The sequence below is a fragment of the Homo sapiens genome, chromosome 4, assembly GCF_000001405.40.
Source record: "Homo sapiens chromosome 4, GRCh38.p14 Primary Assembly".
NCBI lineage: Eukaryota > Metazoa > Chordata > Mammalia > Primates > Hominidae > Homo > Homo sapiens.
The window spans coordinates 46,093,187-46,118,534 of record NC_000004.12 but is presented as its reverse complement, the minus strand read 5'-3'; the positions used below and the strand labels follow the sequence as shown (position 1 = coordinate 46,118,534).

At 32.2% G+C, this 25,348-nt stretch overlaps 1 protein-coding gene across 1 annotated transcript in view; it reads left to right on the top strand.

Moving 5' to 3' along the window:
- Positions 1-25,348, top strand: part of GABRG1 (gamma-aminobutyric acid type A receptor subunit gamma1) — an 88,286-nt gene that overhangs the window by 5,520 nt on the left and 57,418 nt on the right. Inside the window, exon 2 of the mRNA NM_173536.4 lies at positions 21,186-21,334. Within this exon, the coding sequence (NP_775807.2) occupies positions 21,186-21,334 (149 nt within the window). The remainder of the gene's footprint in view (positions 1-21,185; positions 21,335-25,348) is intronic.

Genomic DNA, 25,348 nt, shown 5'->3' with positions numbered 1-25,348 from the left:
GATACAGAAATCAGAATTCCTGCTCAATGAACATAAACTCTAGTAGTTTGTGTCAAGATAGCATATTAACATAAACAAGTAAACACAATAAAATGCTGTAATTGCTACTCAGAATTCTGGAGGAGGTACAGTGGGAGCAATAAAGAAGTTGCCATCAGTTGCAACTCTGGGAAAATATTGTATGTTCTCAGCTGTCATAGGCATAAGTTCAGGTCAGTATGAGGGAAAGATATATATACATCTAGATAGGTAGGTAGATAGATAGATAGATAGATAGATAGATAGATAGATCTATATGTAATATATATCCTTACATCTGAGGAAAGGGTAGGCTATATGTTCTGTTAGGGGGTTGAGGATAAGGGTAAGGCATATTATACTGTAGCTGTATATATATATATACACACACACACGTATATATGTATATATACACACATATGTATACATATGTATATATATACACACACATATGTATACATACACACATGTATACATATGTATATATGTATATAGATACACATGTATACATATGTATATATGTATATAGATACACATGTATACATATGTATATATGTATATAGATACACATGTATACATATGTATATATGTATATAGATACACATGTATACATATGTATATATGTATATAGATACACATGTATACATATGTATATATGTATATAGATACACATGTATACATATGTATATATGTATATAGATACACATGTATACATATGTATATATGTATATACATGTATGTATATATGTATATGTATATACATGTATGTATATGTGTATATGTATATATGTATATGTATATACATGTATGTATATATACAGCTATATACATGTGTATATATATACAGCTATATACGTATATACATATATATGTATATATGTATACATATGTGTATATATATATAGAGAGAGAGAGAGAGAGAGACAAAGAGAGACAGAGAGAGAGAGAGAGAGAGAGAGAGAGAGACAGAGATAACATTACCATCTTGTGCCAAAGGTAGAGTCTCACAGTTTGGTAGAATTTTTTGTATATAGATTTCCTATATATTTTAGGTGAACCTTTACTCTGGTTGTGTAAGATGTGGCATTAAAATAGAAACATCCTATTGAAGGCTATATAATTTAGTTTAATTTTGAAATCCTGAAATGTAGAAATCTTTTCCTCCCAGAAACAATGTATTCTGAGATTTGACATTTTTCCTTATTTGTTAGACAAATATTAAGTGACTAAAAAGTAATAGAGATTGTGCTATGCAATAGAGATACAGAAGTAAACTTAATATAGACCCTGCTCTCCAACCTATAGCTAGAATATAGGATCAGAAAGTTTATGATTATAAAATAGTGAGTTTAATATATATTTTAATAGTCATGTCAAGATGTGATTTGTTTCTCTAGATGGCTTTAAGACTGCTAGAATCAAGGGTTCTAGCCACTAGGTTAATCTTTAGGCAGATTTCTAGAACAATCACTAATGGTTGTACATTAGGTACAGTATGCTTAAGTACAGGGATATCATTCACCTCTTGATCATCCTAGATGGGTATAATTATAATATTAATTTTCCAGCACGTGTAATAGAGTGTGTTGAGTAAAGAATACCTGTTCCAGAAAAGAGCCATATTTACTAGCACTGAGTAGCCCTGTTGGCTGGATTGAACTTAAGTATTAATTCAGATGCCTGTATTTTATAAACTAATTTGTTACCCTCTGCAGGTGGCTTATGAATGTATATTTGTCTCTGGAATTTCTTAGTAACAATTCATTTCCAAAATCATCAGATTGTCATGACTAGAGTAGACTAGACTGTTTTGCTTTTTCTATTCACTTATTTGTATTCTCTTAGTTTTTGAAGTGAATAGTCTAAGACAATCTTTTGTCAATTAAAATATTTGACACTCATTTCAGATCCCAAGGCTTAGAAAAATATATATGTTTCTGCCTTCAGAGGTATGAATTCCGATTTCTTTCTTCCACTTTTAAGGTCTTTTAATATGTTTTATAATTTAATAAGCTCAATATAATGCCTCCATGTTGCAATATTTTTAGCAGCCTTGAAGAATGTATCTGAAGCATAGATATCCCAAAGTCTCAGAGAGTGTGAATGTCACCACGATTTGTATTTTTTTTCTAAGTCTAACTTATGTTCTGTCAGGCACTATGAAAATGAACTTAAAAATGGAGAACTCAATGATAATTTCAATATATTGTCTATTCAGTGTTCATTTTTTAAATAGACTATAATAAAAATTACATTTTCTTTCTCTTACTCCAAAAAGCACTCACATAGAAATGGTCATAAAATAACATTTACAATTTCTGGGCATTTACCAGCCTTCTGAAGATTTCATTGGATGGGTGGTTTGTAGTTTTCTACACTCTGCTTTGAGGAACAAAGTTAGCCTGCTAAACATAGCAAATAAACAACAAAGACAAAAATCTAAAAGTTGGCAAGCTATACTGTTTTATTTGTAGTATTTATTCTTTTATTAAAAATCAATCAAAAAGCTACAAAAATTTCAAATCTATAACCAAAGGCATTAAGAAAAAAATCTGTTTTATAATTGTCTTTTTTATCCTCTTTCTAAAAACATGCCACCGTACCAATTAATTTTTTAAATGTATTCTGATATTACTCTTTTTTCATTAGCTATCTTATGTTTAATCTTATATTGATTCTAAATAAATAAACTATGCTCTGATATGATTGGCAATTGTCCGACTCATTTTTGAAAGTAACAGAGATATACAGTGCTAAAAGCAATTTAAATTGCTATTTGTTTCCTATTTTAGATGTAATTTTGAAGAGATCTATATCTTCAATCCTACCAAGGAAACCATATAAAATAGACTATAAATGAAGCCACATTTTACTTCTTTCTCCTAAATCATTTTTTCACATCTCAAATAAAATCATTGATGTATAATCTTATTCATGCTCTGGTCTGTAGACAGAAAATTAATTTTACTTTACAGTTTGAGTTTTTTACTCAACTTTATTTTTCTTTACTTGCTTTTTGAAAATATTTTCAATTGTTGCTGTTGTTGAAACATAAGAAAAAAATGATTTTCCCTAATGCCATGGTATATATAACAATTTACTGTGTAAGGTGGGAATCTAATTTTGTTTTCTTCTAAAAGAGCTAATTAGCATTTCAACACAACTTACGGAATAATTCTTGTATTTCTAAACTGATAATTCACTTTTATCATATATTGTATTTTTGGGATACATCTATATATTTGGGATCTTATTTTGAAAGCTTAATTTTGTTTTCACTATTTATTGCTACAATGAGGTTTTACTTACAGAAACTTTATTTTGTTTTCTTTTTATTCTTGCCAGAAAAAGTCCATCTAAGAATTCCCTTTTTAAATAATATCTTATAAATTCTCATGTTGATTGTTCTACTTAATTTTAATGGTTTTAACCTGTTACACACAAAAGGTGAGATTCTGATTAAACCTGTATTAAATGCATCAAAAATTTAGGAATCATACATTAACAATATTTTATAGGCAAAATATTTACTTTGTCTTTTTTTTTCTGTCCTTATGTTCCTCAATAAACTCTTTAGTTTTCTTCACGTAAGACATTTACCTTCCCTGTTATAGTTCCGCTTAATCATTTCATATGCTATGTTGTCATTGTCAAATGAGTAAGGTTTTTTCTTCTGTTTTTATTTTTGATGAATTTGTATTGGTATCAGAAAGTTAGTATGTTTTTTAAATTAGCTTTATGTTAGGTTATCTACCATAATTTTTAAATTAAGGACCACAGTTATAGTTTTAGTTATGTTCTTGATTCATGGTAATTTTATCTGAAAATAGCACAATAGGATTTAAATTTTTTTTTCTGTTCACTTACTTATTCATTGATTTTTATTAAATTGGGCACAAACTATGTATCAGATTTGGGAGTAGGTGCTGGAGGTATCACATTACATACCTTTGGCTCTAAGGTATTTAAATACCTAAATACCTTCAAATTGCTTAAAGCTTAGAGACGGTCATAAATAAATAAGTAATTAATTAAGATACAGTATGATTAACTGCATGGTAGAGTTAACCACAGGACAGATTGGAAGCATACAGGACACACTTACCTAGTATTCTAGGCTTGGTTCTCTTCTGTCATTTCAAGTTTTCAAAGCATCTCTCTATGTATGTTAAGTGATAGGTTCCACTGTAGTTTCCTTTGTGCTCATAAAATAATCATAGTATTGAGTGGATTATCAATTCTCCTCTTTAAAACTCTGGAGGTTTAGTGCTTGCTTCAGCTGCACATATAATAAAATTCTGAAAGTTTAAATCTATAATGCTGTTATTTATCACTCTTTTACTTATTTTGCTTTTCTATAGCTTTTGTACAGTGAAAAATTATTCAGAGCTACAACCCTAGAAAGGAACTTTTCTACAAAAGGGTTTAGTAGCTCAAACATGAAGGCAAAAAAGAGAGAAAATTTATTTACTTTTTGATTTTAGGTCTAAAATCAGTGATTTTTCCTACCCTTTGAAAAGCTAGTTCTTACAGTTCTTGACATAGAGTATATTGCATCTTCTACTCAGAAGATACGTTTCTTTTCTGGAACTTTTCCCTGAAATACTGTGTTTATGAAAATGTGTTTGATGGTTGTAAATAAATACTACCTAACTTGTCATGAACAACAGATCACAGATAGGGCCTGTGGAGACAACATATATTTATTTACTAAAGAATATTCATTGAAACCCTGTGTGTGACAGATGCTGTTCTAGAAACTTGTGATATGTCCATGAACTAGAGATAAAACACCTTCTACCATTTTGGAGTTGGCACTCAGGAGGGAGAAATACACAGTAAACAATAAGCATAAATATATTAAATTGGAACTTATAAAATTATCTTTTTGTCCAAATGGGCAAATATAATTTAATGGGTTAATACTATTTCATCCTTTATCATTTATGTATAGGATTTTATAATTAAATTAGAGCTATGGTGATACGGTTAGGCTTCATGTCCCCCCCGCCAAATCTCATCTTGAATTGTAATCCCCATAATCCCCAAGTGTCAAGAGAGAGACCAGGTGAATGTAATTGAATCATGGGGGCAGTTACCCCTATGCTGTTCTCATGATAGTGAGTTCTCAGGAGATTTGATGGTTTTATAAGGGGCTCTTCCCCCTTCTCTCAGCACCTTTCCTTCTTGTTGCCTTGTGAGGAAGGTACCTTGCTTCCCCTTTGCCTTCACCATGATTGTAAGTTTACTGAAGCCTTCCCAGTTATACTGAACTGTGAGTCAATTAAACCTCTTTTCTTTATAAATTACTCAGTCTTGGGCAGTTCTTTATAGCAGTATAAAAATGGACTAATACATAGAGAAACAAATAAGCCGGGCAAGGAGGTGTGGAATTTGGATAGAAGAGCAAATAGTGATCAGACAGGCTTCAATGATTAAATAATATTTGAACAAATACTATAAGTGAGTGAAGCTTTCAGTCATGCCAAGTGAGGGTTGGGGAGATAAGAATTTGAAGTGGAAGACCATAATGTGGGGGCCTTGTAGTTACTTGTAGCCGTGTAGCTATTTTTTTTTCAACTTTTATTTTAAATTCAAGGGATGCATGTGCAGATTTTTTACCTGTGTATATTCCAGGATGCTGAGCTTTGAAGTAGGAATAATCCCATCAGCGATATACGAATCATAGTACCCAATGGTTAGTTTTTCAACCCTTACCTCATACCTCCTTGCCCTCTCTAATAGTCCCCATTGCCTTTTATGTTCATGAGCACCCAATGTTAGGCTCACACTTACAAATGAGAACATGGGGTATTTGCTTTTCTGTTCTGCAAAAAACACAATTTTGTTGTTTTTTAATGGCTTTTTTATGGCTATGTAGTGTTTATGTACCTCATTTTCTTTATCCAATCCACCACTAATGGGCACCTATCAGTTGATTCTATCACTTTGCTGTTGTGAACAGTGCTGCATGGAACATGTGAGTGCATGTGTCTTTTTGGTAGAATTATTTGTTTTCTTTTGGATATATACCCAGTAATGGGATTGCTGGGTTGAATGATAGTTCTGTTTTAAGTTCTTTGAGAAATCTCAAAACTGCTTTCCACATTGGCAGAACTATTTTGCATTCTCATCAACAGTGTATAAGCATTTCCTTTTCTCCACAGCCTAGTCTATATCTGTTGCTTTTTGGCTTTTCAATAATAGTCATTCTGATTGGTGTAGGATATCTTGTTGTGGTTTTGATTTGCATTTCTCTGACGTTTAGAGGTGTGGAATATGTTCCCTATGTTTGCTGGCCACCTCTATGTCTTCTTTTGAAAAATGTCTGTTCATGTATTTTCCTACTTTTAGTGGGGTTTTATTTTGTTGGATTTTCAATTGTTTAAGTTCCCTGTGGATTCTAGATATTAGATCTTTGTCAGATGCACAGTTTGCAAATATTTTCTCTCATTATGTAAGTTATCTGTTTACTCCTTGACAGTTGTTTTTGCTCTGCAGAAGCTCTTCAGTTTAATAAGGTCTCACATGTCCATTTTTGTTTTTGTTGCAATTTCTTTTGAGGACTGAGCTATAATTGCTTTCCTAAAGCTGACATCCAGAATGGTGTTTCCTAGGTTTTCTTGTAGGATTATTACAGTGTGAAGTTTTACATTTAAACCTTTAATCTATCATGAGTCAATTTTTGTATGTGGTGCAAGTTAAGGGTCCCATTTCAGTCTTCTTCGTATGGCTAGCCAACTATTCCAGCACCATTTATTGAATAGAGAGTCCTTTTCTCATTGCTTATTTTTGCCAAATTTGTTGAAGATCAGATGTCTGTAGGTGTGCAGTTTTATTTCTGGGCTCTCTTCTGTTCCATTTGCCTATGTGTCTGTTTTTGTACCAGTACCATGCTGTTTTGGTTACTGCAGCCTTTTCATATAGTTTAAAATAAGATAATGTGATGATTCTGGCTTTGTTCTTTTTTCTTGGAGTTGCTTTGGCTATTTGGGCTCCTTTTTTGTTCCATATGAATTTTAGAATAGTTTTTCCTAGTTCTATGGAAAACTCTTTTGTTAGCTTAATAGGAATAGCATTGAATGTGTAAATTGCTTTGTCCGATATGGCCTTTTTAATAATATTGTTTATTCCAATCCATGAACGTGAAATGTTTTGCATTTCTTTGAGTCACCTTTGAATTGTTTTAGCAGTGTTTTGTAGTTCTGCTTGTAGAGATCTTTCAGCTCCTTGGTTACATGTTTTCCTAGGTATTATTTTTGTGGCTATTGTAAATGGGATTACATTCTTGATTTGACTCCTAGATTGAACATTATTTTCGTATAGAAATTCTACTGAGTTTTAAACATTGATTTTGTGTCCTGAATTACAATGAAGTGGTTTATCAGTTCCAGGAGCCTTTTGGTGGAGTTCTTTGGGATTTTCCTGGTATAGAATCACACACTTTCTAAAAAGAGATAGTTTGATTTCTTCTTTTTCTGTTCGATGCCTTTTATTTCTTTCTCTTGCCATATTGCTCTGGCTAGCATTTCTAGTCTTACGTTGAATAGGAGTGGTAGGAGTGGCCATCCTTGTCCTGTTTCAGTTATCAAGGGTGGTGCTTCCACCTTTTGACCATTTAGTTTGATGTTGGCTGTGATTTGTCATAGATGACTCTTATTATTTTGAGGTATGTTCCTTCAAGTCTTAGTTTCTTGAGGGTTTTTATCATGAAAGGATGTTGGATTATATCTAAAGCTTTTTCCACGTCTATTGAGATGATTACATGTTTTTTTTAATTATGCTCATATGATGAATCACATTTATTCATTTGCATATGGTGAACCAACCTTATATCCCAGGAATAGAACCTACTTGATTGTGATGAATTAACTTTTTGATGTACTGTTGGGTTCAGTTTGCCTTATTTATTTTGAGGGTTTTTGCATCTATGTTCATCAAGGATATTTGCCTGTAGTTTTCTTTTTTCATTGTCTTTGGTGGGTTTTGGTATTAGGGTGGTGCTGGCTTTTTAGAATTAGTTAGAGAGGACTTAAAAGGCACAGAGTGGCAGGTTGGATAGATTAACAAGACCCATCCATCTGCTGTCTTCAAGACACCTGTCTCAGAGGTAGTAATGCCCATCAGCTCAAAATAAAGTTTAGATAAAGTTTTAATGGGCAAACAGAAAGCAAAAAGAGCAGGGTTCACTATGTTATATCAGATAAAATGACATTAAACCATCAACAGTAAAAATGGACAAAGGAGGGCATTGCATAATTATAAAGGGTGCAATTCAACAAGAAGACTCAGTTATCTTAAATTTATGTGCACCCAACATTGGAGCACCTACATTTAAAGATATACATCTAGAACTACAAAAACATTTAGACAGTCACCCAATCATAGTTGAAGATTTCAACATCCCACTGAAAGCATTAGCAAGATTGAAGGAGAAAAGTAAAGTAAAAAAGAAATTCTGTAACTAAATTTGACACTTGACCAATTGGAACTAGCAGATATCTGTAGAACACTCTTCCCATCAACCAGAGAATATACATTTTTCTCATCTGCACATGGAACCTACTCCAAGATCAACCACATGCTCAGCCATAAAGCACATCTCAACAAATTCAAAAAGGTCAAAATCATACCACCTATAGTCTTGGACCACAGTGGAATAAAAATAGATATCAATACCAAGAAGATCTCTTGGAACCATACAATTATATGGAAATTAAACAACTTGCCCCAGAATGCCTTTTGGGTAAACAATGAAAGTAAGGGATAAATCAAAAAATTATTTGAAATAAATGAAGACAGAGACACAATATACTAAAGTCTCTGTTATGCTGCAAAAGCAGTGTTAAGAAGAAAGTTTATATGCTAACTGTGGGCCTGAAAAGGTTAAAATAATCTCAATTTAATTATGTAACATCGCACCTGGGGAAACTAGAAAAATAAGAACAAACTAACCACAAAACTAGCAGAAGAAAAGAAGTAACTAATATCAGAACAGAACTGAATGTAATGGAGACACAAAAATTTGTACAAAGAATCAGTGAAACCTTTTCTAAAATGATAAACAAGATTGATGGACTGAAAGCTAGATTAACAAAGAAAAAGAGAGAGAGAAGATCCAAATAAGCACAATCAGAAATGGCAATGGTGACATTACAACTAATCCCACAGAGATATAAAAGATCCTCTGATACTATTATGGATACCTTTATGCACACAAACTAGAAAATCTGGAGCAAATGCATAAATTCCTGGAAACACACAATCTTCCAAGATTGAATCAGTAAGAAATTAAAATCCTGAACAGACCATCACTGAGTTTCAAAATTGAATCAGTATTAAAAAAAAATACTAACCAAAAAAAAGCCCTGGGCCAGATGGATTCACAGCCAAATTCTACTAGGCATACAAAGAAAACCTGGTACCAATTCTACTGAAAGTATTCTAAAAACTTGAGGAGACACTGTTTATCCTAAGAGATATGGAAAACCCTCCAACTAAGATCCAGGGTTTTGAGCATAGATATGATATGACAAGATCTGTATATTAAAAACATCACTATGGGTGTTGTATTGATAATAGACTATGTTATCAATGCAAGGGCAGAATTAAAGAAACCCAAAGGAGACTTTTTAAAATAATTTGAGTCTTCCTGATGAATTTTACCTGTGATAAATTCTTCCTTTGCCACTTACTAATAGTAAGAACTTTGGAAAGTTATTTAAATCTCTCAGAAACTGAGTGATCTTCACTTATAAAATTAGGGTAAAATGCCTACCTTATAAAATCCACATTCATGTTTTCATTCATACAACAAATAATAATTGAGTGCTAACTTAGTGCCCATCACTTCTCTAGTCACTAGAGATGCATCCATAAACAAAAAAAAAATCCCACGCTCATGGAGAGTGGTAAGGATAGTGGTAAAGGACTCCACACTCGTGGATAGTGGTAAGGATTAATATGTTCAGAATCCTAGCACAAAACTTCTGTCATTAGATCATTGTGAGTGAGTGAATTTCTTTAGTTTTGAACAAATTTTAAGATTCTTGAGAACAGAAAGTCAACATTTTGCTCCTACTTGACTGATGAATGAGTGGACTCTATTAAGCAAAGCAAATGTGAATTGAACAAAATCAATTTCTAGTTCAAGTGGCTGTGCAAAACACTACTTCTCACACGGAGATTTAGTGACATATAAACTGAATGTGTGTGCCAAAAATTTACTAAGCAGAATTTTTTCATATTTGGCTTGACCCTGACAGGCCATAATGCTTGTTTCCTGGCTTAAGAAATGTGCATGAAAAGAGTATCAATTCATGTTCCCTTCTAGCTAAAAATTCCCCAATACTATATGTTTCTTAGAATTTTTTCATTCCATACTTATTACCATCATTTATACAGAATATTTCCCAAGTATTTCCAATTTACTAATATAATAATTTTTCTGTATTTCTAATGTTCCTTCTGACAAATATTTAAAATGTGCAGAATGTGCTAGGAAACCTATTGATTTACCTTCCCTTTTTTGTCATATGTCCTCTAGCATAGATTTTTGTCTATCACATATACATAAACATTTTACCAAATACATAAGTAAATACTTATTCTATTATTGATCCTTCTTTTTATAGTCGTTATGTCACCACTTGTAGAATAGTATTCTGATAATAGTCTAATTTTAAAAATAATCATATGTATAAAGTATTTTAAATGTCAAAGCTTTGAGTAGAAGTATTGTTCAGTTGGAAAGTTTGTAGAACATGAGATTGTTGTAGAGTAACAACAAGTTAACAGAATATTTGAAGAAAATAAATTAAAATAAGATAGGATTTTTGATATCTCCAAAGGCAATGTCAAGAGAATCATCATTTCTATTTAATGATTCAAAATTATATAATTTAGTATCACCATCATAATTCACATATGAGAAAAAAAGAGAGGGAGATAGGAAGCAATAAGAAAAAGAAGGAGGGTGGGAAATGAGGTGGGAGGAATGGTGACAGGGAGGAAGAAGAAGAGAAGGAAAGGAAACAAGAAAGGAAGGAACTGAGTAACAATGAGGATGGTGTACATGTACATTTGTGTGTGTAGAATTTAGAATGACTGCATTAAAATATTAAATAGTAAGATGTATAATCATGTTAAAAATAAAGCATTGTGTACATTATTATAAGGTATTACCTTAGGAACATATATATTATTCAATTTATATGATTTCATAAAACTTTTGCTGATAAATGGCAAACTATAATGAGTTTCTAGTTAATGACAAATGAAAAGAAAATAATATTCAAGAGGAGAGAAAAGATCAATAGACAATTGTAAAACCACATAATGGGTACAAAAAATGGAATGAATGAATAAAACCTACTACTTCATAGCACAATAGGGTAACTGTAGTCAACATAACTTAATTGTATATTTTAAAATAACTTGAAGAATATAATTGGATTATTTGTAACTCAAAGGATAAATGCTTCAGGGGATGAATACACCATTCTCCATGCTGTGCTTATTTCACATCGCATGCCTGTATCTAAACATCTCACATTCCCCTTAAATATATACACCTACTTTGTACCCACAATTTTTTTAATTAAAAAAATGATTAAATGTAGTTGCGTTTGGAGCTGGAAAGATGAATTAGGTGACCATGCATGACAGATTCTTCCTCACTCATGATTCTTTTTCATATCAAGCTTAATGACCCAGCAAAAAAAAAAATTTACAGTAACCTCCACATGTTTTATTTCATATACCAAAAAAATGACTGAAAATGAACTGTTTCTAAAGTCAGGATATGTTACAAGGAAAGGAGGTGTTAGGTGAGAGGAGTTCATATACCTAATTATTGAATTTAACATATTATCCATCCTGAGCTTAATTCAGTTGAGCAGAGTAGAACCAAGCATTCATTGTGTTCAAGCTATGAGCGTTTATGTACATTTGAGTTATTAACAGTGCTCTTGCTGTATTATGTTTTGAGGAAGTAAATCTGCTCATTTCCTACCAATGCAAAATAAAACAATGGCAAAATGTCTTTGCTTTTCTAACTCTTTGTCAAAGTCTTTTGTTGTATAAGATTTTTTTCATTTTAAATTACAAAATTGCACTTAGACAAACCAAACAAACCAATGTAAATACATAAATGACTAATTATGGGGTATCCCCTGGGACCCAGTGAAGGACTGATCAACCAAACATCAGGAAAGCTGGGGATGGGGCAGTCTTGGTGACAGAAATTCCTTCTCTTTCTCTAGCTATGCCAACGGGCTGCACTACAAATTAGCTATTGCTGCATTTATTGATTAAAATTCTCCACTGTCAGGAATGAAAGTCTGGCTAACCTTTTGGGGCTCAGGTGTCTACCCTATTCTAAACAACTTGGCCTGAGAAAGGACCTGGGAGTATAAACAGACCTGCTTAAGCAGCCTGCCTGTTGATTGCTTTCATACCAGGTCACAGTGTAGTTCAGTAGGTGGTCATACTCAAATGTGCCTATAAAACTAGACATTTCAGGAAGGAGAGTAAAGAGCTACTGGAACCTGGAGAAGAAAATAATTCTAGCCATCTAATTGGTTGAAATAGGACTCCTTCACTTGTTTTGCTTTTTGATGATAAAAAACAATCAATACAAAGGAAAGTGCATACACCGACTAACTTGTAGAGAATATCTATCATCTATCTATCTATCTATCTATCTATCTATCTATCTATCTATCATCTATCTACCCATCCATCCATCTATCTATCTAACTGCTTACCTATTTATCTATACAGGTAAGTAATTTTAGAAAATTGGAGGATTATGTGTCTGGAGATAGTGTGATGTTGATCCAACCCATATTGGACATTCAAATTAATTATGGTGGTATAAATACAGTTACAGGTGAATCATGTTATGTAGTGTAATAACAATTTTTCTGAACTTAAAAATTTTTCCCTCAAGTAAATAATTGTCCTTTTAAAACATCCCCTTTGTTTTGCATGTACTAGTAATTTAAAATAATTTCCAAATTTTCTCCAAATCTCCTAAATGTACAGGCAGCCAAGATATGAAGTTATAGGGCTATTCAAAGTGCTGGGACTGTCTTCTACCACATTACAAAAAAACAGTAGTGTTTATATTTGTCTGTATCATTCTTCCATCAGCCTCAGCAAACTGACGTTTGCTTCATTTTCTTTTCTAAGCCAGTTTGGTTTTTTCGTTTTCTTTTTTTCTTTTTCACTTTAATTTTCTTTCGCAAGTCAGTTTTAGAGACCACCCACCTCTGCCAATGGTGCATCTGTTTGTTGATCTTGTATCAATAATTTGCCCAGGCCTTAATTAGCAAGTATCATTCTGCCAGCTTCCTTCTCTTTGTTTGTGCTTTGGATTTCCGAAGTCTCCTTGCTTATAAAAAATGGAGTTTGGGAATCTGGTTTTCTATCTCCTTGCTACTTTTGGTTGATTTCTGAAAAAGGAAGGATAGCGTGCCCACTTTACCGTTTTCAAGAGGAAGTTCTGAATTACCTTTTATAAATCCAGTAATGTTTAATATATATTCATTACCTAAGGGTTTACAGAAATATAAACCTTAAAAGTTTGATGAGGAAACTGTGGCTCAAAGATTTGTAAGGATTTGTACAAATCCCACATTACCATTAAAAGATTAATACTAATACTTAAGGCTTCTATTTTCCATGATCTTTCTTCTGGGGGCTGCTTTAGTCATCTTTGCATCCCCAGCATCCAGAAATGCTGGATGCTCAGCACACAATAAGCACCTAATAGACATTTGTCAAATGAAGTTTAATAAAATAATTGTTATAATTGTTTAAAGAGTGTTAAAATCCCAACTAGAATGTAGTTTACATAAGGCAAAATAACCAATACATATAAATAGGTGTTTTATTTTATAATAATTACAGGAATGTAATGCAATGAAAATTAGATACTATTTCATATCCAATAGATTGGAAAAAGGGATTATGTGACTACACGTAATAATGTATTATGGCTATATGTAACGTTGTGTCATTCAAGGATACATAGGTATATGCTAAAATGTAATAACTAACTAAGATTAGTTAATGTAACACATTAGTTATTACATTTACAACAACACGGCAATAAATTCATCTTAACATTTATAATATCTGAGGCTGGAGAAGAATGTAGAGCGTTTTGTTTCTTAAACTGTGTATTGGTTTCATAGACAGTTGATGATTACATCATTATCTACTTTTTAAGAGTTTCTAAAATACTTCATAACTTCCTTTTACTACAATCTCTATGTATGTTTTGAGTAGGAGTCATTTCTCTAAGTAACTGAAATATAATGTGGTATGATCATTGATACATTTGAATCATCATAATCATTTCACATGTGAATATAATAATTATATGAAATTTTTGGCACTAAGTAGCTTGGAGGCCTTAATGAAGTCATTTATGTGTTTAGAACTCCAGTTTCCTTATTTTTTAATATAAGGAGTAGGACATGAAGATATCTAAACGTGCTCTTACTTCAAACACTCTATGTTCCTAGAAATGCTTAGTGTAACGTATATAGAACTTTGGTAGAGATTACATGCAGCTAATCATAACTTGAATTTGGCTCCTGATTGCTATATAAAAATATATAAAATATCAGTTTTGATAAGGTACCTATACTTTTTGTATCATTCTAACCACTTATGCTTTTTCTCAGCTACCTAAATGAGCACTAATAGGGATAGCAAAACCACCCAGTCAATTGTGTTTATTAGTATGAAATAATAGGAGTAGCAAAATGACACTCAAAATTAACTCTAGTCAATGACATTCAAATGACAAGAATAATAGTGGTAGTCATGATTTCTGAACATATTTATTTATTTTTTAATTATAACAGGCAAAAATTTGGATTTCTTGATTGAGTATATCTACCTATTATCTGGATTTTATATTAATTCACTGATTAATTTGCTATTAAAATATTGTTAGCCCCACTTTTAAAAAATAGGGCTATGATAACCTCAAATGGTAACAATATGAATAACCAAATTTTATATTTATTTTAATAAACATGGTGGAACTTTTCCCTGTGTGGAAATAATGACCAACTAACTAACCCAGAAGTTTTTATGAGGAAGTACCAGTGACAAATATTTATTATATTTACTATCCAGTGAATTTTTTCTGTACATATACTCAGTACAAGTAGCAATTATCATTTTTTTCCAATGAAGTATGTAAATGGCCTCATCAATCAATTTCACTTGCAATTATGTTTTTTTCACACTGTGGGGAAAATAGTCTATCACTATTTCTTCAGGGTTTACTCACATTCCTCAGGCACCTTATTAAGCTACTTTGAGTTTCATCTCTGGTTTCTTAACAGATTAATGGAAGAAGCTCCCTCCCGTGTCAGAACCAGGAAATTTGCAATAACCTTTATATGAACTAAATACAGGGTGACTAGATCATTAATCATCCAAAGTAGGCCATTTTGTGATGAGAAGCTGCTATTAAAAATCATTTTGGGGCAACAGGTGTAAACCAAGATTTTCCTTGGCAAACCTCAATGAATGTTTAATTTACGCATGAAAAATAGTTTATATTAATTGACTGACTTGCTATAGGCATATATTTTTTTCTCTAGTAATAAGGATGGATTTTCTTCATAATTTTATGGCAAAGCATGCCTTGTCTTTACTTAAATTAACCCTTGGTTATTATTTTGAAACTCTTGTTTGTTATGTAGAAGAGTAATATAGTTATTAAAGGTTTTTTTCCCACATACAGTAATTTCTTGTCATCAAAGAAATTTGTATGATACATTAAAATAGCTGAGTTTAGTAAGACAAAAAGAAATAATAATCATATACTAAATGACTCAAAGATTTTCTTTAGTAAATAAGTACAGGTTGCAATTGAATGTGTGAAGAAGTCTTTGAGAAACAGATGTCAAGATGGCCTTAGACTTGTAAGAGAGAAATGCTTGGGAAACATAAATGAGAGGAGGAGGGAGTGGCAAGAGAGGCTTCAGGTAACAAAGATGTTTGAAACGTATGAAAGTAGAGGGGGGAAGAAGTAGTTTGGATCAAAAGAATCTGAGTGCAATACCCTTCTAAGAAAGTTTTGGCCAGGGAGGTAGGAATCCTCCAACACAAATTGCCCTTCAGAGGGGCTCCTAGTCTGACAGGAATGGATCTGAATTAATATTCCTACTATGTTCAGTTATTGACAGAAAGCAGCCTGAGACAGCTTGGGTCTGGTGCAGACTCAGGGCTCATCCTTAGTACTGGCAGGCAGCTATGTTCTCACAGCAGGAGAACCAAGTGGCAAATTTTCAGGGATGCCACAATAATTTTCTTAAGAGAGTATGATATTCTACCTCTCTCTAAAATACTCTATTTAGTTATTCATTTTATAATTAGAAATTTATTTCAGAGCGTTATCTGGTATATAAGAAGAAGTTCATTCTTAGGTAGGCATTCACATCGAATTCACTCCTTTTCATTTATTTACATTATACAATGTGTACATGAAGATTTCAGGATACTATTAACATGCAAAAATAAATTTTCTATTGTCTCACTAGTATAGAATGTTGAGTGTATACATTATTCTGTTTTTCCATCAAGTCTTTTAAGCTACTTTATACATAGATGACAATTAAAGCAAACTGTTTTCTGTTATTTTTCATGTAATATTAAATTATGAAAATAATTTGATGTTTTTACAGACTCTTAACAAGCAATAGATGTGTACTTTTTGTTAATAAATCATTATTTAAACATACTCTTATTGTTAAAAAAGTTATATAATCATAGGTAATACCGTGATAAGCATCTTAATGTCTGATGCTTTTCTGTGTCATTGGATTGAAAATGTTTTCTCCTTTATTAGAAAATGAGACCATCTAGATCAAGATTATAATTTCATTTGTCTTTGTATTCCTAGCACTTAGCACATTTTTAGTACACGGTATTATCTCTGTAGATGGACAAAAACACTGGGTCAGAGATTGAGATCACAGTGCTTTTTTTGTCATATAGTGTGCGACTCCTTGAGTTTATGATTCTACCTTCTCTGGAGTCAAGGGCTGAGACTACCCTAGCCACACACAATCCAAATGTGTCTGCTAATTACGTACCGTAGGTTTTGTTGCGGTCTTGTGAATTAGGAAATTCAAAACCGAACCACCCTAGATTATTCAATAAAGGTATATGTTGTGCCAGGAAAACTTTAAGGAAGCAGAAAATATGTCTTCAAATTAAATCAACATTATTTTAAATTCTGGGTCTATTGTTTAATAGCTGTGTGTCCTGGAATTCTATAATCTCTTATTTTCTCATTTTTAAGGTAGGTATATTAATTTTTAATAAATTCTCAGAGTATTATTTTTAAAAAATCATACCTGTTTCTTCCAAATAAATATTTATCCAAAACATGTAACTGCTACAAAAATCTCCCAGCTTCCAAAAAACATCAGGACATGAAACACACTATAAGTGCTATGTTTTTAAAATTATGAAGTACTTTTTAATCACCAAGATAACACCAATGTAATATTCAAAGTAATTAATGAACATTCTGAGCATAACTTAGATAGCTTAGAGAAAAGGTGTAGATAAATTACCTATAATGAAATTTCTTTTATGTTATTGCCGAAACTGAGGAAAGATAACTTTATAGTATTTTTGAGGTCAATTTTCATATTACCTCTCTACTACCTGAGAAAAGGGCAATATAAACTAGTATCACCATGTGGATTTTAGATTATCAAAATATTGCCACCATAAAAAAAAAAACAGAAAAAGCTTTTTTTTTTTTTTTCTAAAATCTTCCATTTGATTGCAATCATTATTCAAGGAAAGATAAACTGTTTATATGTGCAGTGGCTTGCCATACCCACCAGATACTTCATTCTATAAAACTGAAATTTAGAGGTGAATGAAAACCTAAAATTTAAGTTGTTGCCAATATCTCAACAAGTCTAATTAGGAAATAAAACATTCCAGAAGCACACACCAGCAGAGATTCTTAATACTTCAGTATTTTTTTTTTACTTTTATTTTAAGTTCAGGGGTACATGTAAAGGTTTGTTAAGTAAACTTGTGTCATGGTGGCTTGTTTTACAGCTTATTTCATCTCCCAGGTATTAAGCCTAGTCTCCATTAGTTATTTTTCCTGATCCTTTCCCTCCTCCCACCCTCCCCACTCTGATATGCCGCAGTGTGTGTTGCTCCCCTCCATTTGTCGATGTGTTCTCATCATTTAGCTCCAACTTATAAATGAGAACATGTGACAACTCAGTATTTCTAATTCCTCAGCTTATATGTACTTATTTACTTGGAGAAAATAATAGGAAATTATTTGAAGGAAATCATATAACAAAATTTCTATACTGTACACAAGATAAGTAGAGCAAAATAATTACTGTAATGATGTACGTAAGTAAAAATATGTTAACTAATATGTTCTCCAGGAATCTGCATAGGGTTATAAGTGAAACTTTGTATACTTTAAAATAATGCATCCTTAGAAGTACAGGCTCAAAGTATTTTTACTCATATATAAACGTATCTCAAATTGGAACAATATTATAGTGTGCTCATTGCATACTGCGGGTATCAGAGCCCCAGTTCTACCAGAGTAGCAGTGTTACATTGGTCAAGTTAATCCACTTCTCACAGAGTTTTTCTTCATTTGCAAAGTAAGGGAATATAATAATAGTAGAAGGACCATGGGTTTTAGGGTCTGAGAACTGGCCTCTGACTACTAGAAAGCTTTCTTGAGGTTGCATACAAAGCACATTCTATGTACTTTAGTGATATACTTAACTTGAGGGGGCCAGAATTGTTTTGGCAGAGATTTTGCTAAGATTGTTTAACTAAGGTGTTGGTGGTGGGAGAAACTGGTGAGATTTGGAATAGTAGAACTGAGGCGTATGTTACTTAACATCTCTCAATTTGTATTCTCAAAGTGTTACAAATAAAATTGGACCATCCTGAGGCAATCTGCCAAGACACATTAGGTTATGCTGTGGTAACAAACTACTTCCAAATCCCAGTGGCTTCCAACCCTAAATGTTTATGTCTCACTCAGATTACATGTCCATTGTAGTTCAGCTGTGGCTCTGTCCAAGTCACCTTCACTCTGAGAGTGAAGTAATGGAGTAGCCTGTGAGTATGGCTGAGTATCACCTGGCAGAAGGACAAGAGAGATGTAATAAACTTCACTGACACTAAACCCACTGCTTGGTAGTGATGCATGTCAGTTATATACCATTAGCCCAAGTCAATCACAGGGTCAGACCTGAGTTCAACAGGACAGGGATGTATAATCCTCCTGCTGGAAGGAGTATTGCAAATTACAGACAAGTTAAAAGTTAGTAGGGTGAGAAGCATAATTATTTCACAAGAAGAGGAGAAACATTGTTAATAATACACTGTTATTAATCCGTGGAAGATAACTATTAATATAATTATTATAACGATGAAATAATATAGTAAATTCTTTGAAAGTAAAATTTTAATTTATGATGTTAAAATCTCATAAAAATTTTTTATGGCAATATAAGGATTTTTACTTCACAAGCATCTTCATAAGCATCTTAACAAAAATATTTTCACGAAAAGCAAAATAGAGGGCAATGTGAATCTGATGATACAATTAAGTGCCCCAACCCCCCAACCATTGTACAGAGAGCCTACAAAGCAGATGTGATATCCAGGTTTTTATAGCTGATGTTTGGGAAATGGAACTGAAAATTCAGGATTTGTTTGGCCACTCCACTTTCTTTCACAAAATGAGAAGGCAAGCACTAAAAAAATACCAAAGAGGTGGCAATCAAAAGCAGTAATATTTCTCTCAAGACCAGGGTAGTCCAACATAAAATAAACATCTCGGACTGGCGTGTTCTCTTGTATTCTCATGCTTGATGTATTTCTTAGCAATTCAAATCAGCTTGAGAGTTTACGGATAAAAGGAGTTGGGGCTGCATTTGCTAAGGTGTTTAGATTCAAAGCAAAAGAGGTCTGAATAGATACTGTAGAAAGCATTAAGTATTTACTGTTTGAGGGAAACACATCTTTGAAATATATGTGAATAATCTGGAAAATTACAGATTTACTTGATTTTACCAATGTTAGTGTTTAGTTTTTTGGACCCCTTTTCACTGGAGCATGAGGGATTTCCTAAAATGGGTGTGTTGTTAAGTCTAGAATGACCTTACTCAAAAGAAGATGGCGTTACTTATGGGCAATAAAGAGAAGAGTAATTTATTACCTTTGATGAATTGTTGATGAATATCTTTATTACTGGATGTTTCTATCACAATTCAGAAGTCAGCTGAATCTTTTCACTTTTAAGCACACAGGTGTATCAGAAAGCAATAGTTGGAGAGGCAATGTTTGAGTCTCAGTTTTGCTGATAAATAGATTTGTGTTTTGGCTATTTTTCTGTGGTCCTTGGTTTTCTCAGTTATAAAATAAAGGAAGAGAGTTATTTGATCTCCCCAATATCACTTCTAGTAAAATGTGATAGTTATGCCTCCTCCCAAATATATGTGCAAGATGAGTCACCTATTGATAATTTGATGATTATAAAATCTTTGACAAAGTTCTTGGAAAAAGATGGCTGGGTTCTTCCGACTTAAAAGAAATGAGCAACAGTATGTACAACAAACATGTTTTCCTTTTTATTCAAACCTTCCTTTACTCAATTTTTCTTAATTCTTCTTTTCTACACATCCATTTTTTGTACATTTTACCAGACTAATTATTACATCTTTTCCTGTAATTCTTTACCTTTTAATTTTTATTTTTGGTTGTGATGGTTTAAGGTCACCACATATGGGTGCACAGATTTTATGTTATACAAATTTAGGGGACACCAGTCATATTTTGGTGGAATAATTTTTATGAATGTTAATGACAGTTGTGGGAGTGGTCAAAATTTACTTTATTATTTTAATATTGTGTATTTCTTGCACAGAATTCTCATTTTTTGAGTATTATATCAGGGCACTTTGTATGACAAATGTATTGGTCTTACTAAATGTAATGTTAGTGTAATACCTTTTTGTCTGCCATTATTACTTTCTTACTCAATTGTAACATACTTAAACTATACTTTTATACATGATTTGATTGAACCTTCTACCATCCATTTTTTTCTTTGAATTATTTAGTGTTGATAAGGCAGATGATGAAGATGATGAGGATTTAACGGTGAACAAAACCTGGGTCTTGGCCCCAAAAATTCATGAAGGAGATATCACACAAATTCTGAATTCATTGCTTCAAGGCTATGACAATAAACTTCGTCCAGATATAGGAGGTAAGCTTGAGTTACCATTCTGGGATTTTGATGACCATTAAACATATCATTACTGGTACTATTTTAATCATTATTTCTTATTCCTTGAGTGTCTGATGTATGTCAGAGAATCTGCTGAATTTGAAGATTATTGGTTAGAATGGTCACTAATGTTTTGAGGAGTTCACAGTCTGAAATAAGAAAAAAGAAAAAAAATTAATGTAATTATTTTCCAACTGCTACAACAATATCTGACCGAGTTTTGATAAAACTGCCTAAGACTGAGAAATACTTCATAAAAGAGCTAATATTTGAAAGATAAGATACAGAATAATGACCATTTTTATAAATAATGAATATTTTACATTCTCATTTCCAAAATTATACTTTTTCATGCCATATTGCACTGGGTAAGACTAGAGTATAATGTTGAATAATCTCAAATTGTTCCTGATATCTGGAAAGGTAATCTCTATTTCACTAGTAGGTATGATGCTTGCTTAAACGTCTTTTTTAAGGACACTTTTTTTGGTTACCTTCTCTTCTATTTTGCTAGGGTTCTTTCTTTCCCTACACATCTACAAGTATGTGTGATGTGAAAACACAGTCTTCAAAACAGGTTTCTTTCTGGTTAGAGAAAAATATCAGAAAGCTAGACAGAAGTGTGTTTAAGAAACTGAGCAGTGATAGGGAAAAGAAATAAAAGGGAGAATTTTGTGCTCAACCCTGGCATCATATATTAGTAGTATTTGCTATGTATCTATATGGGCAGTGAATTTCTTGCATTTAATTAATATTTGTTTTATTTTAGTATTTTGGAAGCTTCCTGTTTTTGTTCTAGTTTTACCTTCGTACTTTTATCTTAATAGCCTTAGTCTTTCATTTATTAGCCCTTTACTCGGGATTCTCAGTTGTTATTGATATTATTTAACTCCCACATACTGTCCATACAACAATTAATGATATTTTTCTATTTTCTTTTTTTCTTCTCCTTTGCTTTTTTATTTTTAATTATATATTTTCTGCTTTGTCACAACATGTAATATTTGTAAATTTGTTTAACACCATTTTCCCAATCTTTGCTTTAGTCTTTAGGCTCTTTCAATATATGCTGGAGGCTACAATCTTTAGGAAACTAACACAAGAACACAAAACCAAATACCACCCATTCTCACTTATAAGCGGGAGCTAAATGATGAGAATTCATGAACACTAAGAAAGGAATAACAGACACTGGGTGGGGAGTGGGAAGGAGGAGAGGAGCAAAAAAGATAACTATTGGGTAATGGGCTTCATATCTGGGTGAGAAAATAATCTTTACAGGAAAACCCCTGTGAAATGAATTCACTTACGTAACAAACCTTCACTTGTAACCCCGAACCTAAAATAAAAGTTAAATACTAATTAAAAAAATTCTCATCATTGGTATATTTTGCTAAAGTTATTTTAGTCATCTCTTTATTGAGTAGATTTTTCAGAAAGTTGTTGCATGTAAAATTATTTTTCTATTGATTTGAAACTTGAAGGACATAGTGGCTACATAGAAAATCCTCAATTTATGTTTTCTTTCACTGACTTTTCACTTTAATAGCCTAATTGCACTGGTAACTTGCTTTGTGTGTTATTTTTGAAAAGTCTAATGCCAGTCTATTATTCAGTCCTTGTAATTTACTTAGTCTTTTTTTTTCCTCCTGGAAGCCTTTAGGATTTTTTAAGAAAGGTTTCAACTGAAGTCTTTTCTTAGTATATGTTTCAGAGCTGTTCAATTTGGGTAGCCGTTTTTCTAGACATTGATACATTTTTTTCAAAATGTAATTTCAGGTTTTCTTTTCAACCTTGGGAAAATGCATTTACTTCTGTATTTATTTATTTAGGAACATAAAGTTGAATATTTGTTCTGTTACATTGTTGTGGTTTTCTTCTTCACGAATTCCCACTATAGGTATGTTAGTCACACTTTGCCTGCCTTGTATTTGCACAATATTCTCTCTGACTTTCTGACTTCTCTTCATCTCAGTTGTATTCTCTTCATTATTTTCCTGCCTATTATTAAACTGTTTTTAGTTGATTCATTGGTGACCATCATAATTTTGTCTTTTTCTTCTATTTTTTAAAGTTCAACCAATTTTTTATTTATTTCTTACTTTTTGTGTATTTGTGTGTGCGTGAGAAATGTATTTATCTTGCTTAGTTTCTGAATTATTTTATTCAAGGTGATTTTTTCTTATTCCTAAATTTTTGTTTGAATATACTTAACTGTGGGGAGTATTTTCTTACAGTTTCTTCTGCTTATTATTTTGTGTGGGAATTTTCCACAATTGATTTGTATTGGATCTTCGTATCTTAATTCTGCAATAATTATTTTGTCCTTTTAATTTTGTGGTTTCTGGGTGTTCTACAAGATCTTAGCTTATTGATGTATTTTAATGTCACGATAGCAAAGTTCAGATACTTTGGATTTGATTGTGGTGTTGGGGTGTATTATTTATTTTGTGGTCGGGGAGAAATTCTGTTACTTCCAATTCATTGATTCTTCTTTTCCTTGTAGAAGCATGAGGTACTCCCCTTGACTTTTCCTTGTCACTATACTATTTCCTAACCTCACTTCTGTTTTTGTTTTTGACATTTTTCTTGGCCCAGAAACAACCTATTTTGAACATCACTCTTTGACATCACACATACTTGTAGATCCTTTTCCTCTTAGTTCTTGTGCTGGTTTCCAAATACATGTTTAAATACTTTCATATTAATGGTACATTTACTTTCTTCAGTGGACTTTGGCATCTACCTTAGGCCCATCACTGACTCCCTTCTGTCTTCTACAGAGCCTATTTCAGGCTGCTGTGCCCACCATAAACTGTTGCCTTAGAGTAGAGATGAGACAATGTTTGAAAGATTTCTTTCCAGATTTGGTATTTGGGGTTTTATTTGTTTGCTTGTTTGACATTTACAGTCATTTTGAAGTGTGGGCATTTTTTGTCTTTAAGTTATACTGAGAACTTAATTTTTGTTTACTTCTACTTTTCTCTTTTTTTTATATACATTTTTGAAGGAAATATTGGGAGATGAAGACACAGGGAATTTATGTAAATTTTCTCATGTACTGCTTTAGACTTTTACGATTTATTTCTTTGTAATTTCTTCTTTGTCACATGCAGTAGTTAGTGAATATTGTTTAATTTCAAAAATTAGCCTGTGTTCTAGGTATATTTTTGTTATTGGTATCTACATTAATTTAATCTGGGTCTGAAAACATAAACTTAAGTCAGATTTATAATTCTTGTTGCTCAAATGTATAGATGTATAATCCTATACATCTACTGAGAGAGGTGTGTTAAAAATCTCTGACTACAATGATTGACTTAGCCTTTAAAAATTTTTAGTCCAGTAAGATTTTGCTTTATACATATTGAAACTGTTTTAGGTACACACAAATTTTGGATTGTTTTGTCTCCTTTTTTAAAAAAAGTTTTACTTTTATTTTTATGGATACATAGTGGATGTATACATTTATGGGGTACATGAGGTATTTTTATATACACATAGAATGTGTAATAATCACATCAGGATAAATGGGGTAGTCACCTCGAGTATTTATCATTTCTTTTTGGTATGAACATTCCAGTTATACTCTTTTGGTTATTTTTAAATGTATGATATATTATTATTGACTGTAGTCACCCTGCTATGCTATCAAATAATAGATATTATTTATTGTATCTGACTATATTTGCATACACATTAACCATCCCCACTCCCCTACCTCACTACCCTCTGGTAACCATCATTCTATTCTAACTCTATGAGTTCAATTGTTTTGATTTTCAACCCCTACAAATGAGTGAGAACATGTGACTTTTGTTTTTCTGTGCCTGGTTTATTTCACTTAACATAATGTCATCAGTTCTATCCATGTTGTTGCAAATGACAGAATCTTATCCTTTTTTTTGTGGGTGAATGGTACTCAATTGTATACATATACCAAATTTTCTTTGCGATGGTTACACCTTCTGTTGAATAGCAGTTTTATCATTA